At 39.7% G+C, this 16,459-nt stretch overlaps 1 protein-coding gene across 2 annotated transcripts in view; it reads left to right on the top strand.

Annotated features, from left to right (window-relative positions):
- The window catches only part of COL21A1 (collagen type XXI alpha 1 chain), a 337,539-nt gene that overhangs the window by 118,627 nt on the left and 202,453 nt on the right, over positions 1 to 16,459 (top strand). The window lies entirely within an intron of this gene.

The raw sequence follows: 16,459 nt of genomic DNA, 5'->3' as shown, positions 1-16,459 counted from the left end.
TAGATCCTTATAAATTCCGGATATTAGACCTTTGTCAGATGCACAGTTTGTGAATATTTTCTCCCCGTTTGTAGGTTGTTTGTTTATTCTATTGATCATTTATTTTGCTGTGCAGAAGCTCTTTAATTTAATTAGGTCCCAGTTGTCAATTTTTGTTTGTGTTACAATTGCTTTTGGGGACTTAGCCAAAAATTCTTTGTCAAGGGCAATGTAGAGAAGGGTATCTCCTGTTTTCTTCTAGGATTTTTATAGTTTGAGGTCTTATATTTAAATCTTTAATCTATCTTGGGTTAATTTTCATATATGATGAAAGGCAGGGGTCCAGTTTCAGTCTTCTGCATATGGCTAGTCAGTTATCTGAGCACCATTTACTGAATAGGGAGTCCTTTCCTAATTGCTTGTTTTTTGTCAGCTTAGACAAAGATCAGATGGTTGCAGTGTGGGACTTTATTTCTGGGTTCTCTATTCTGTTCCATTTGTCTAAGTGACTGTTTTTGTGCCAGTACCATACTGTTTTGGTTACTGTAGCTTTATGGTATTGTTTTAAGTCAAGTGCTGTGATGCCTCTAGATTTATTCTCTTTGCTTAGGATTGCTTTGGCTCTTTGGGCTTTTTTTTTGGTTCCATATGAATTTTAGAATAGTTTTTTCTAATTCTGTGAAAAATGACATAGATAGGAATAGCATTAAATTTATGATTTGCTTTGGACAGTATGGCCATTTTAATAATACTGATTTTTTAATCCATAGGCATGGAATATTTTTCCATTTTTTTGTTTCATCTCTGATTTCCTTCAGCAGTATTTTGTAGTTCTCCTTGTAGAGATCTGTCACCCCTATTGTTAACTGTATTCCTAGGTATTTCATTTTTCTTTTTTGTGTGTAGCTATTGTAAATGATGTTGTTCTCTTGGTTTTACTCTTAGCTTAAATGTAATTGGTGTATAGAAATGCTACTGAAATTTACATTGATTTTATGTCTTGAAACTTTTTTGAAGTCATTTGTCAGTTCTAGGCCTTTTGGCAAAGTCTTTAGAGTTTTCTATGTACAGAATCATATCATCAGCAAAGAGAGATAGTTTCATTTCTTCTTTTCCTATTTGGATGCCTTTTATTTCTTTCTATTGCCTTATTGCTCTAGTTAGGACTTCCAGTACTATGTTGAATAGGAGTGGTGAGAGTAGGCATTCTTGTCTTGTTCTACTTCTCAAGGGGAATGCTTCCAGCTTTGGCCCATTCTGTATGATGTTGCCTGTGGGTTTGTCATAGATGGCTCCTATTATTTTGACATAAGTTACTTCAATGCCTACTCTGTTAAGGACTTTTATCATGAAGGGATGTTGGATTTTATTGAAAGCTTTTTCTGTGTCTAATAAGATGATCATAAGGTTTTTGTTTTTAATTATATTTATGTGGTGAATCACATTTATCAATCAGCCTTGCATCCCAAGAATAAAGCCTACTTGTTTGTGGTGTATTATCTTTTTGATGTGCTACTGGGGTTGGGTTTGATAGCATTTTTTTGAGGATTTTTGCATGTATGTTCGCCAAGGTTATTGGTGTGAAGTTTTTCTTTTTTCATTGTGTCTCTGTCAAATTTTTGTATCATGCTGATGCTGGCATCATAGAATGAGTTAGGGAGGAGCCCCTCCTCCTCCTTGAATAGAATTCCTTTTTTGGAATAGTTTCAGTATGATTGGTACCAGTTCTTCTTTGAATGCCTGGTAGAATTTGGCTAGGAATCTATCTGGGCCAGGATTGTTTTTGGTTTATTATTACTAATTCAATTTTGGAACTTGTTATTTGTTTGTTCAAGTTTAAACTTTCTCCCTGATTCAATCTTAGGAGGTTGTATTCTTCTGGGAATTTATCCATATCCTTTAGGTTTCGTAATTTGTGTGCATGGAGTTGTCTATAGTAGCCTCTGAGGGTCCTTTGTATTTATGTGTGATCAGTTGTAATGTCATTTCTGTCATTCCTGATTGTGCTTATTTGGATCTTCTCTGTTTTCTTTGTTGATGTAGCTAGCAGTCTATCAATTTTGTTTATTCTTTTGAAGTACTAACTTTTGGTTTCATTGATCTTTTATATGAATGCATGCATCTCAATTTCATTCACTTCTTTTCTAATTTATTTCTTCTGCTATCTTTGGGGTTAGTTTGTTCTTTTTTTCTAGTTCTTGTAAGTGCAAAGTTAGGTTGTTAATTTGAGATGTTTCTAACTTCTCGATGAAGGTGTTTAGCACTATGAAGTTTCCTCTTAACACTGCTTTGGCTGAATCCCAGAGATTTTGGTAAGTTGTGTTGTGTCCCTATTTTAATTAATTTCAAATAACTTTTTAATTTCTGCCTTAATTTTTATGTTCACCCAGAAATTATTCAGGAGCAAGTTGTTTATTTGCAATGTATTTGTGTAGTTTTGAAAGATCTTCTTGATATTGAATTATATTTTTATTGTGCTGTGGTCCAAGGAAGTGGTTGGTATGATTTTGATTTTTTAAAATCTGTTGAAATTTGCTTTATGACCAAGCATGTGTTTGATCTTAGAATGTGTATTAGTCCATTTTCACACTGCTGTAAAGATACTACCTGAGACTGGGTAATTCATGAAGAAAAAAGGTTTAATTGACACACAGTTCCATATGGCTTGGGGAGCCTCAGGAAACTTAAAATTGTGGCAGAAGATGAAGGAGAAGCAAGTACCTTCATCACAAGGCAGCAGGAGAGAGAGAGAGTTCAGGGGAAACTGCCACTTTTAAACCATCAGATCTCATGAGAACTCCCTCATTATCATGAGAACAGCATGGGAAACCACCCCCATGATCCAATCACTTCCCACCAGGCCCCTCCCTCAACACATGGGGATTACAATTGGAGATGAGATTTGGGTGGGGACACAGAGCCAAGCCACATCATTACACCCCTGGCCCCTCCCAAGTCTCATGTCCTTTTCTCATTTCAAAACCAATTATGCCTTTGTAACAGTCCTGCAAAGTCTAAACTCATTCCAGCATTAACCTGAAAGTCCAAAGTCTCATTTGAGACAAAGCTAGTCCCTTCCGCCTATGAGCCTGTAAAATGAAAATCGAGTTAGTTAACTCCCAAGATACAATGGGGGTGCAGGCATTGGGTAAATGTTTCCACTCCAAAACAAAAGGGCCACAGGCTCCATTCAAGTCCAAAACCTGGCAGGGCACTCATTAAATCTTAAAGCTCCAAAATAATCTCCTATGACTCCAGGTCTCACATCCAGGGAATGCTGATGCAAGGGATGAGCTCCCAAGACCATGGTCAGCTCTGCCCCTGTGACTGCTTTCTTGGGCTGGTGTTGAGTGCCTGCAGCCTTTCCAGATGCTTGGTGCAAGCTGTCAGTGGATCTACCTTTCTCTGATCTGGAGATGGTGGCCCTCTTCTCACAGCTCCAGTAGGCAGTTCCCCAGTGGGGACTCTGCTTGGGGGTTCCAACCCCACATTTCCCTTCTGCACTGCCCTAGTAGAGGTTCTCCTTGAGGGCTCTGCCCCTGCAGCAGACTTCTGCCTGGATCACCAGTCATTTCCATACATCCTCCGATATCAAAGTGGAGGCTCCCAAAGCTCAACTCTTGTGTTTTGTACACCCACAGTCCCAACACCACATGGAAGCCACCAAGCTGTGGGGCTTGCACCCTCTGAAGCAATGGCCTAAGCTGTACCTTGGCTCCTTTGAGGCATGGCTGGAGCTGGAGTGTCTGGGACACAGGACACCAAGTCCTGAAGCTGCACAGAGGAGTGGTGCCCTGGGCCAAGCCCACAGAGCAATTTTTTCCTCCTAGACCTTTGGGCTTGTGTTTGGAGGGGCTGCTGTGAAGGTCTCTGACATGCTCTGGAGACATTTTGCCCATTCTCTTGACTCTTAATATTCAGCACCTAGTTACTTATGCACATTTCTGCAGCTGGCTTGAATTCCTCCCCAGAAAATGGGTTTTTATTTTCTACCACATAGTCGGGCTGCAAATTTTCCAAATCTTTATGCTCTGCTTCCCTTTTAAACATAAGTTCCAATTTCAAGTCATCTCTTTGTGAATGCATATAACTGAATGCTTTCATAATAAGCTAGGTCACCTCTTGAAAACTTTGCTGCTTAGAAATTTCTTTGCCAGATACCCTAAATCTGGTTTGCTGCTTGGAAATTTCTTTGCCAGATACCCTCTCTCAAGTTCAAAATTCCACAGATCTCTAGGGCAGAGGCAAAATTCTGTCAGTCTGTTTGCTAATGCATAACAAGAGTGACCTTTGCTCTACAGTTCCAGTAAGTTCCTCATCTCCATCTGAGACCATCTCAGCCTGGACTTCATTGTCACTATCAGCATTTTGGTCAAAACCATTCAACAGTCTCTAGGAAGTTCCAAACTTTCCCTCATCTTACTGTCTTCTTCTGCGCCATCCAAACTGTTCCAACCTCTTCCTGTTACCCAGTTCTAAAGTTGCTCCCACATTTTCAGGTTATCTTTATAGCAGTGCCCCACTCCTGGTACAAATTTCCTGTATTAGTCTGTTTTCATACTGCTGTGAAGAATACCACCTGAGACTGGGTAATTTGTAAACAAAAGAGGTTTAATTGACTCACAGTTCTGCCTGGATGTGGAGGCCTCAGGAAACTTACAATTGTGGCAGAAGGTGAAGGGGAAGCAGGCACCTTCTTCATGAGGTGACAGGAGACAGAGCATGAGGGAGGAAGTGCCACAGTCTTAAACCATCAGATTTCATGAGAACTCCTTCACTATCATGAGAACAGCATTGGAGAAACCACCCCTATGTTTCAGTCACCTCCTACCAGATGTCTTTCAGGACACGTGGGGATTACAATTTGAGATGAGATTAGGGTGAGAGAAACATACCAGGATGTTTCTTGTATATTCTGTGACTGGTGGGTGGAGTGTTCTGTAGATGTCTATTTGGTCCAATTAGTTGAGTGTTGAATTTAATTCCAGAATTCCTTTGTTAGTTTTCTGCCTCAGTGGTCTGTCTAATACTGTCAGTGGGATGTAGAAGTCTCCCATTATTATTGTATGGCTGTCTAAGCCTTTTCATCAGTCAAGAGGAACTTGTTTTGTGAATCTGGGTGCTCCGATGTCAGGTGCATGTATATTTACAACAGTTAAGTCTTCTTGTTGAATTGGATCTTTTGTGTCATGTAATGCTCTTCTTTATCCTTATTAATTGTTGTCAGTTTAAAGTCTATTTTAGCTGACATAAGAATAGCAATCTCTGCTCCGTTTTTGTTTTCCATTTGCGGGGTAGATCTTTCTCTATTTACATTGAGCCTGTGGGTATCACTACATGTGAGATGAGTATCTTGAAGCCAGAGGATGTTTGGGTCTTGTCTTTTTATTTAGCTTGCCACTCTATGTCTTTTAAGTGGGGCAGGGACATTAAGGGGTAGTATTGATATGTGAAATTTTATTTTGTCATTGTATTGCTAGCTAGTTGTTTTGTAGACTTGATTGTGTAGTTGCTTTATAGTGTTTCTGGGCTATGCATTTAAGTGTGCTTTTGTGGTAGCAGGTGTCGTTCTTTTGTTACCATGTTTAGCACTCTCTTAAGAACCTCTTGTAAGTCTGATTTGGTTGTGATGAATTCCATCAGTGTTTGCTTGTCTGAGAAGGATTTTATTTCTCCTTTGCTTATGAAACTTGGTTTGAAAGGATATGAGATTCTTGATTGGAATTTCTTTTCTTTAAGGATGCTGAAAATAGACCTTCAACCTCTTCTGGCTTTTGTGGTTTCTGCTGAGAGGTCCACTGCTAGCCTGATGGGGTTCCCTTTGTTAGTGACCTGTCACTTCTTTTTTTTTTTTTTTTTTTTTTTTTTGAGACGGAGTCTCGCTCTGTCGCCCAGGCTGGAGTGCAGTGGCGGGATCTTGGCTCACTGCAAGCTCTGCCTCCCAGGTTCACGCCATTCTCCTGCCTCAGCCTCCCAAGTAGCTGGGACTACAGGCGCCCGCCACTACGCCCGGCTAATTTTTTGTATTTTTAGTAGAGACGGGGTTTCACCGTTTTAGCCGGGATGGTCTCGATCTCCTGACCTCGTGATCCGCCCGCCTCGGCCTCCCAAAGTGCTGGGATTACAGGCGTGAGCCACCGCGCCCGGCCGACCTGTCACTTCTTTCTAGCTGCCTGTAAGATTTTTTTCTTTCATGTTGACTTTGGTGAATCTGATGACTATGTGTCTTGGGGACAGTTATCTTGTATAGTATTTAGCAGAGATTCTTTTTATTTCTTGAATTGGCATGTTAGCTGTCTAGCAATATTAGGGGAATTTTTGTGGACTATGTCCTCAAATATATTTTCCAAGTTGATTATTCTCTCTCCTTTTCTCTCATGAGTGTCAATAGTTGTAGGTTTGTTCTTACATAATCTCATATTTCTCAGATGTTTTGTTTATTTTAGAAGTTTTTGATTTATTTTTATGTGAGTTGATTTGAAGAACTGGTCTTTGAGCTCAGATTCTTTCCTCAGCTTGGTCTATTCTGCTGTTAATACTTCCAATTGTATTATGAAATTCTTGTGGTAAATTTTTCAGTTCAGAAATTCAGTTTTGTTCTTTCTTAAAATGGCTGTTTCATCTTTCAGCTCTTGGATCATCTTACTGGATTCCTTGTATTGAGTTTCAACTTTCTCCTGCATCTCAGTGAGCTTCCTTGCCATCCAGATTCTGAATTCTATGTCTATCATATCATTCTGATTAAGAACGACTGCTGGGTGGATACTGGGCTTGTTTGGAGGTAAGGGAACACTTTGCCTTTTTGAATGGCCAGAGTTCTTATGCTAATTCTTTCTCATCTGAGAGGGCTGATGTTCCTTTATCTGTGGTGTAAGTTGAGTATAGTCAATTGGCTTCATTTCTCAGTACTTTCAGAGGGCCAAGTCTCAGTACAGGATCTTTATTTGTGTCTGGATTCTTGCCCTTGGTTTCACAGGGGTATATATTGACAGAATATTTTTGGTGTGGTGGTTTGAGTTGTGATTCATTAGGTGGTCATTGAGAGTAGTGGTGGGAAGAATGGCTTTTACTTAGCCACATGGCTCTTTTGTATTTCCTTGTGTTCACAACCATGCTCTGTAGTGGGGGTTTGAGAGACATGATTCCCTCATCAGGTCTGTTCCTGGGTCTTGGGAAAGCTCATTCTGATCCCTGGAACCGCACCCATGTTTCCTTTATTAGATGTTCCGGGCTGTGGGGCTACTTTGGGTAGAGGCCATGGCAGGGCGATAGCTTACATTCTTTCTGGACTGGACCTATGAATGGAAGCATGCCCTGCTCCTGTGTCGGCCCATGAACCCATGCATTTCACCCTTCTTAGTGCTCTGAGAGTGTGGGCTCCTCCCCTGCTTTAGTTCTCACCACACATCTCCGCTTGAATTGACACTTCCAGCTCAGCGCTGTAGCTTTGGGATACTGGGAACGGCCTCTGGTTCCATCTTCCAGACCCTTGGGATCTAGCTCCAGTTGTGCTGGGGGATCCAAAGTGCTTTCAGGCCACTGGGAAAGTACTCAGGTGGAGCAAAGCACAAAGGCTGGGCAGTGGAGGCTGTGCTCTCAGGTCTGCTCAAAGTATGTTTTCTTACTGTATATTTTGGTCTCTTTCAGTGGGAATGGTGCTTTCTGGCTGCATCTAGTTGGTCATCTTATCCCCTCCCTGCAAATAAGAAATCTTCTTAGATAGGAGGCTCTCTTCTTCTTCTTCTTCTTCTTTTTTTTTTTTTTTTTTAACAGAGTCTTGCTCTGTTGCCCAGGCTGGAGTGCAATGGCATGATGTTGGCTCACTGCAACCTCCACCTCCTGGGTTCAAGCGATTCTCCCTGCCTCAGCCTCCCGAGTAGCTGGGATTACAGGCGCCTGCCACCATGCCTGGCTGTTTTGTATTTTTAGTAGAGATGGGTTTTCGCCATGTTGGCCAGGCTGGTCTCGAACTTTCTGACCTCATATGATCTGCCCACCTCTGCCTCCCAAAGTGCTGGGATTACAGGCATGAGTCACTGTGCCTGGCCAGGAGGCTCTCTTCTAAACTGTGTTTGGGGACCCAGGTTTTTTCCATCTTGGGGCTTACTTAACTTCAACAGTGATTTCTCAAGTTGCTGGGCTCATCTCTGTCAAATCAGTGAAAAGGAGAAAGCATGGAGGATTATGCAGAAAAAGTTTTTATGCACCAGGAACATTCCATTGGCCAGAATTCAGGCAATGTTACTAGGAAGAGGAAGCAGGTTTGATGAAGATCAGGACAGACTCTGCTGTACACTCTTAGAACAGTGCTTAGTACTTTGTTGACTCTCAAGGTATGTTGACTATTATTATTATCATATTGAATGTCAACTTACAACTTTCATGACACCTTATGTATTTTAAGAAATGTGAAGCATACAACATATTTTGGTGAATGTCTGCCATATAGAGAATTAAGATTAATCATCTAGACTTCTCTGTGGAAGAGGAGTTGAAGAGGATGCTCATTGTCTCTTCCTTAGGCTAAAGTCAAGCTTAAGTTAACAGGATTTAAAAAATATATATGTACATTCTGCCCGAGCTGTTTGCTGTGAATAATATATAGATGTGACTGAGTCAATATGAGCTATTAATAGTTAACTGCACAAAGGAAAGGAATAGTAAAATTATTTTCTTTTCTTGAACATAATTTGAGGTAAGTAATCTTCATTCAATACATTCTTTAAAGAATAAAGTGATTCTTAAGATTAGAAGAGCACCTTTAATATCCTTTATTCATCTCCTTCAGACACTGAGAATGAAAATATTACTAAAGTGGAGAGTTTATCTGTCTGTCTACAGATCTATTTGTTCTATTAGTCCATCTAAATTAATCTTACCAGAAAAGGTATGTACTTAGGTACTTTTCTTTCAAAGAACAGCAGTCATTTTAGCAGAGCTGAAGATTTTGCATTGCATCTAGCAGGAGTCAGTAAAGATTTTCTGTAAAATGCCAAGTAGTAAATATTTTAAGCTTTGTTGCTCATACAGTCTCTGTTCCCATGCAGTCTCTGTCACAACTACCCAACTATGCTACTACAGTGTGAAAGCAACTGTAGACAATATGCAGACAAACCTCAAAAAACAAAAAAACAAAAAAGATCATGGCTGTGTTCCAATGAAACTTTATTTATAAACACAGGTACCAGCCTAGATTTGGTCCAAAGGCTGTAGTTTGCCAGCTCCTTGTCTAGAACGTTCAGTACTTTTATATTTTCTAATTTTATATTAGATGTTTATGACATTCATGAAGCTGATTTATCTCCAGAGTTTGAATTTTACTTTTGCTTTGATTTTCGGTGGGAAGAATGAACATGGCCTAAGATAACACTAATTCACTGTCTTTTGTCATCAGCATTAATTAAGCTGTAAGTCATAATTGTGTTAGCATGTTTTGTTAGATTACAGGCCTATAAAGGCTACTGGTTACCCAGAGTAAAATTGCCTCGTTAAAAGCACTGGGACAGAGGCTTTAACAACTGCTGAGGCAGGGTTCATGGGCCTTTTTAAGTTAAACTTAATATTTAATAAACTTTAGTTGCGAATGTGTATTTACTTAATTTTTTTTTCTCATAGATAGATGGAATGTAATTTTCTTCTAAAGCTTTTGCTCTATAAGACTCCAAGTAGCATCAGTCATTTTATTCATTATTTAATGTTTTCAAACTATCTAGGAAGATATTTTTTCCTAAAATGTTTCTGTCAACAAGTAGTGTTAAATCCTCCCCCAAACAAACAAAAAATCCTTTTGAACATGGAAGAAGCAAATAAAAAGATCTAACTAAAAGATGTAGGTGGAGGCAGGTCTATTGTCCACTGAATTAAGATGGTATGATCTGTCACCAGTGGGAACCATGGGATATGGAGTCTTCTTTAGGTAAAGGGATTTTGAATGATGACACCTACAGCATTTGCTTATGCACTGTGTTTTTGAAATAGACTTTAGACTCACTTTGCAGTGGGGATGGGGAGTATCATTGTCTGCCCTTGAATCAGGCCCTTCTGGTAAGTGGAATAGGAGGAAGGACGGGAAAGGGACAGTTGTCTCCTTAGTTGGCTCTGTTGTAGCCCCTGGGCTATTGTTTCCCATGGTTTTTGGACTAACACTGACCAGACCCTAGTGATTCAAGTGTAAAAGGCATGCAAATTCTGGCTCCTCATGATAAACATGTATGTATTCCATTGCCTGTTCCACTCCCCACTTGGCATCTGTTCTGGACAATCCACCCCAGAGCTTCTTGTGCCTAGGATCCTCATCAAGATTTCTGGGACAGCCACTTGACCCATGGCAAACTCACACAGTCTTAATTTTCCAAGTAGCTTGAAGACTTCCGCTTCCAGCCCCTGTCTTAGCCTTGCCATCTCCTTTCAACTGTCCTCTCCTCCTGCTCAAATAAGCACAGTGAGAAAATCCAAAAGATCTCCATGTAAGCAGGCATCTACTGTGAAATGAGATCTTGGTATCTCCTTGTAGGAACCTCTACTTTCTTATAGTCTTTTTCACAATTGTTTGGGAGAGGCACCTTCTTTTTGCTATTGGTAGAAGAAAGAAAATGCCCTTCATCAAGAACTATGAAGACTCCTGAGCAACAGGAAAGTCTCACTCAACACACCACTTCAGTACGTTGGACTTAGTTGATGGTGATGGTGAAGGATAGAAGTGGATAGATTAGAAATATTTAGAAGATAACATTTATAGAACTTGGAGTTTAGATGATATGGATTAAATTTAGGGTGTACAGGAGAATGGTATGAAACAGAAGAACATCAGACTAGTATCGGATTGAGGTATATGCATAATAAATTCAGTTTTTGATATGTTGAATTATAGGTGGCTTGTAGGCATTTTATTGGAAATCTCACACGGCAATTAGTTAAATGGGTCCCAACTTTAGAGGCCAGGTCCTCAAGTAGACATAAATTTGTGAGTCATGTAAATAAAATCTTCTAGTGAGACAGTATAGGATGAAAGGAGGAGATTGTTTAGGATTGATTTTTGAGTGTCCAGGATTCTGACATTTAATTGTTGGGTAGATAGGAATAAACATCCCAAAGGGAATGAGAAGGAGCCACCATAGAAGTAGAAGGAAAGCCAGGGGATAGTATCCAAGGTGGACAAGATGCTTAAGTCTGAGAGAAGTGGTGGGATGAGAGTGGGTTTCTGGAGGATGATCTGTGGTTATTCTATTTATGTTGCTCCTACTGATGTATGAAGACAGTAACCAAATCAAAATGCAAATGGGAATGGACGTGTTATGAAACCCTTTTCTTGTGGATTTATTTGAAATGTTTATGTTGCTAAATAAACATTTATTCCAGCAATTTGCTTTCCATGTGTGATATAAATAGTTCCAAGGAGACTTCATTCATCATAAAGACATACGATAAATATGTCTTATGTGCTATGTATCATAAGGAAAACATTATAAACAGAGGAATTGTCCTATAAAGGAACATAATTTCATTGTTTATAGATATTTTCATCTTTGTGTGTTTGTGTGTGTGTGTGTGTGTTTGTGTATGAGAGTGGTTCTCTTTATGAAGCTAATACTATCATTTGTTCTTTCTTCTATGATTTTCTTGTGGTGTCTTTTTATGTTGTGTGCAGGATTAAGGATCAAATATCAGGAAAATGTTTAAATAACCGCATGAATTGTATGAAGCTTATTATAGCAAGAATGTTAAACAGCGGTTTTCCATTTCTCTTGATAGAAAACAAGAACACAGCTTCACATTAAGCCATAGAGTCTTGGGTAACAACAAAATAGAACTTTTGCCTAAAACAGAATTGTGGGTTCCTAGAATACAGAATAAAACACAGCTTAAGTGAGCTATGATTTGGGAATATTCTGGGGACATGCGCTTAGCTTCCCTGACTGTGGGCATTGTTTTGAGTGGGACTTTCTTTTGTAATGAACAGTTTTTGAGTTCTCTTCAGCTTAGGCATCTTTTTCACCTTGAAGATGGCAAGCTTCCAACGCTTGATACCAAGTGTGTGTTTTAAGTCTTATTTCCCACCACACCCTTATTTCCATTCTCCATTCACTACTCCATAGAGTATTTCAATACTCCCCATAGTAAAACCACAGTCTCCAAATATGGCCTTTGTGTCATTGGGTCAGACCTTTCTCTAAGTCTTTGGAAGATCTAGCTTATATGTTACTTCTGATGTAGACCATTCCAGAGTATCCTAATAAAATGGAACCTCTCCTTCATATTAATTTCTTTGGCCCTTTATGAAATACCACTGATTTAAAACTTATTCATTGATGCACTTATTAATTCATTCATTCAACAAGTATCTATTAAGCATACTATGCGTTAGACTCTGTATTTGTGATAGGTGCTAGGAATAAAGCAGTTATTGCTTTTGTGGAGTCTGCATTCTTGCAGGAGCGGAGTGGTTGGGATTGTATGGTTTAGGGCTAGTATTTTTGGGTTTGCATCCCATGTCACCTTCTAGCTGTGTAACTTTGTTCAAGATTATATATTTTAATGCATTAGTTTCTTCATCTGAAAACGGGAAATAAATTACAAGAACCTGAACCAAATTATTCTGAATTTGGTTGCTGTAGCACACCAGGTCTGTGTCCTCACCTTGCTTTCTAGCTGGAGTAGTCCTTATAACATCTTCCCTTGGGAATAGAACCAGGCTGCTGATGCTGCTACAGACCTGGGAGCTGCATAGTGGCTGCTTCTGGTATAGTTAGAGGGAGGTTGGATTTTTAGACTAATAGTAGTGCTTTTTGACCTCCCTGAATCTCTTGATTTCCTGTAAGTTTGTAGCTTGTCACAAAGCTGCAGCCAGCTCTGTATCCCAGTCCCTATTCTAGTATAAAATATACTAGTATATTTTATATTCTAGTATAACTTTGATGAATAAAATACAATTTTAGATCTACAGAGGAAAAACAGACCCAAATCTAATTAAAATACATTCTCCTTCTTTCCTGACACATTGCTGTCTTCTTGCCCTCCTGATTCCTGGGGATTGTCCACTTTCTACAGGGCTAGTATTATGCTTTTGGCTTAGGCTCTGTTTTCTAGGGAGCTCATACTAAGATACCATGTCATTGGCTTATTGTGAGGGTTAAATATAAATATAAAGTGCTCAGAACAGTGCCTGCCATGGAGTAGATACTTACAGTATTTACTAGCTAGCTACTGTTATTGTGGGAATAGTAAATGAAAGTACAGAGGATGGTCTAAGTTGAGAGAAGAAGGATTATTTAAGAATTTCAAAGAAATGCTATTTAAGCCAAAAACCTTAAGGTTGGGTAGGATTTTGCAGATGTGGGATTTAGGGTGGGACACATTTATGGTGACTATGTCAGGCAAAGGAAACATATTTGAAAGCCTAGGGATAAGAAAGACACCAGGTTTGAGAAATCGAATGCATTAATAAGTAAAATTTCTATCTGTTCTATTCAGTTGTTATTTATATATGAGTTTTGCAGAGACAGTAAGCTTATCAAGATTCCATTTTCTTTTCCATATTTCCTAATCCTCTTGCAGTTTTGGATAATAAAATGTGGAGAAAGTGACATGTGTCACTTCAGAGCTGAGGCAGGTAAGGTCCATATTCTTCCACTGATGCAGTGATCAGAGACCACATCTTCCACATGAATGGCAGACAACATGGTAAAGCTCCCACCACCCAATTCCCCAGGTAGAGCAGAGGTTCCCACTGAACTATGTGTAGTGAGAACAAGAAATAATCCCTTGTTGATTTAAGCCCACCATAATTTTGGGACTGATTTGTTATTGCAGTATTACCTGACTGTATTTGTCCATTCAGAATACTATCACAAGAAAAAACCCCTTAGACTGGGCACCTTAAATACAATAAACATTATCTTTTTACAGTTCCAGAGGCTGGGAAATCAATGACCAAGGTGCCTGTAGATGCAGTGTCTGGTGAGGGCTTGCTCTCCGGTCCACAGATGATGCCTTCTTGCTGTATCCTCACAAGGAAGAACAGGTCTCTTGGGTCTCTTTTAGGTGGGCACTAATCCCATTCATGAGGGCTCTGCCCTTACGACCTAATATCCCCCCAAAGACCCTACCTCCTAATACCATAACCATAGAGGTTAAGATTTCAACATGTGAATTTGGGAGGGATACAAACATTCAGCACTGACTTATCCTAACTAATACAATGATTAATCTTGTAATCTGACTATAATGTTAGCTTCTGGACCAGGAGCATGATTCGGGTGAGGCAGGCAAGAGAGGTGCCTAGGGTGCAAAACTGAGGGAGGCGCTCCTTCTCAGGGCTGTGCTAGTGAGTGCCAGGATGACCAAAGCAGAGTGAGGGAGAGGGAGAGGGTGGGGCATGAGAACTGAGAGGTCACGGCTTCACAGACCATTGAAAGATCTTTGGATTTGTAGTAGAATTATAGTCAGCTCCTTATTTTCTATAAAAAGTGAAGTGTCAAGAAAACCAAGAACCAGAAGAATTCATTAAGACATTGAAACTTGTCTTTCAAATAAATATATTTATTAGACTTGAATATGTAAGAAAAGAATCAAGAAGTTTGTGATTTACTTCTAAGGGTTTTTTAAATGTATAGGTATAGCTATAAAAGGTACACACACACACACATACACACACACACACACACACACACACACAGTGAATTAAAGTAAATTGTGCTCCAAAATGTGGCTTCTTTGAATACAAAATTGTCTTCCACTTTACTTTCTAAAAAATCTTCCCCCAAGATTGATTCCTTCCTTCCTTCCTTCCTTCCTGCCTGCCTCCCTTCCTGCCTGCCTGCCTGCCTGCCTGCCTTCCTTCCTTCCTTCCTTCCTTCCTTCCTTCATTCCTTCCTTCCTTCCTTCCTTCCTTCCTTCCTCTCTCTCTCTTTCTTTCTTCTTCTTCTTCTTCTTCTTCTTTCTTTTTTTTTTTTGATAGAGTCTTGTTCTGTCACCCAGGCTGAAGTGCAGATGCTCAGTCTTGGTTCACTGCAACCTCCACCTCCTGGGTTCAAGTGATTCTCCTGCCTCAGCCTCCCAAATAGCTGGGATTACAGGTACATGCCACCACGCCTGGCTAATTTTTGTATTTTTTATAGAGGCAGGGTTTCGCCAGGCTGGTCCCAAACTCCTGACCTCAGGTGATCTACCTGCCTCTGCTCCCAAAGTGCTGGGATTACAGGCGTGAACCATTGCACCTGGCCAGATTCCATGTTTTCTGTAATAATATAATAGTACCTCACATCTTTTGTTTAATTATTTTTATCCAAGCCTTTCTTGTGAGTTAAGTCCATGGTTACAGAGTCATTTAGAGTTGTGTCTTGAGGGAGGATAAAACATAATATAGCTTAAATTTACAATCTCAAGTAATATTCTCCTGTTAAATTGGACTCATTGGTTACAACTCTCTCTTACTTTTGTTGAGTTTAAAACATGCTATGTGTGTGGTGGGGAGGTAGTGGGTCACACCTACCCTCTGGGTTAGAATCTAAAGGTTAATGTGAGAAAGTATGCCATGCTTTCTTTCCTCAATAATGAGACATCTGAAAATGCCCAGAATGACTCCGGGATATCATATTACAGCATAGAAAGCAAAGGCTGAACTGGCTGTGTGCCATGTGTTTCTTTAAGCTCTAGTTATAAAGAGCACATATTTGAGTCTGAAATAATTGGTTTTATAAAAATTATCCTAAGTAGCAGCAATATTGTATGTCCTTTGCAGACTGACTGTAGCATATTGCTTTTGGGAAAAGTGCATGTTTTTCTAAGAAGCTATTACTTCAATTAAAGTATAATGCATAACTCTCCCAAGTGATAGGACATTTGAAAGATACTGCCAAAAGAGAAACAATGAGATGCATTCAGAGAAGACTATATTGGATGTGCCCAATTCTTAGAAAAATAAATGCAAGAACATCTAATCTCATCACAGTTGGATACATATGTTTTTGCAGACAGAATGTAATTTTCTAAAAATGTCAGCTGTGTATGTCTCATAAATACTGAAAACATATCCTAACATTTGGAAGCAGCCAAGGGAAGCTATGGTGATTTTAATTCAAATTTAAATACATAATTAGTGAGTGAGCGCTCAGCAATGATGGGAATGTACTAGAATGATAGCACCAGTGGTGCGGAGTCAGAGAGATGGATGGAAGGAAAAGCAACAAATGGAGATGGAGGGAGTGGAAGGCACTCAGTAGTCTAAGTAGAAATGCAAATGGAAGCATTGAAGAAGCAGTGGGGGAATGCAGTAAACTCCAGGCCAGGATGGTTCTGTCTCAGTGTCTGAGACCATCACAATCCAATGCAGAATGCTTTGAGGGATGCTAGAACTCATTATTCTATTCTCCCCTTCCCAAATCAGCTCTTCTACTGGCCAAGTCAGGGTATGTCCAAGAGTGTTCCTTGAGAACACTGCTTCTGCTGAATGTCTATGTGTTCCTATTAAAATAAAGGGGGA

This window comes from Homo sapiens, chromosome 6 (genome assembly GCF_000001405.40).
Source record: "Homo sapiens chromosome 6, GRCh38.p14 Primary Assembly".
In the NCBI taxonomy this organism is placed as follows: domain Eukaryota; kingdom Metazoa; phylum Chordata; class Mammalia; order Primates; family Hominidae; genus Homo; species Homo sapiens.
This window is presented reverse-complemented; position numbering and strand designations above follow the sequence as displayed.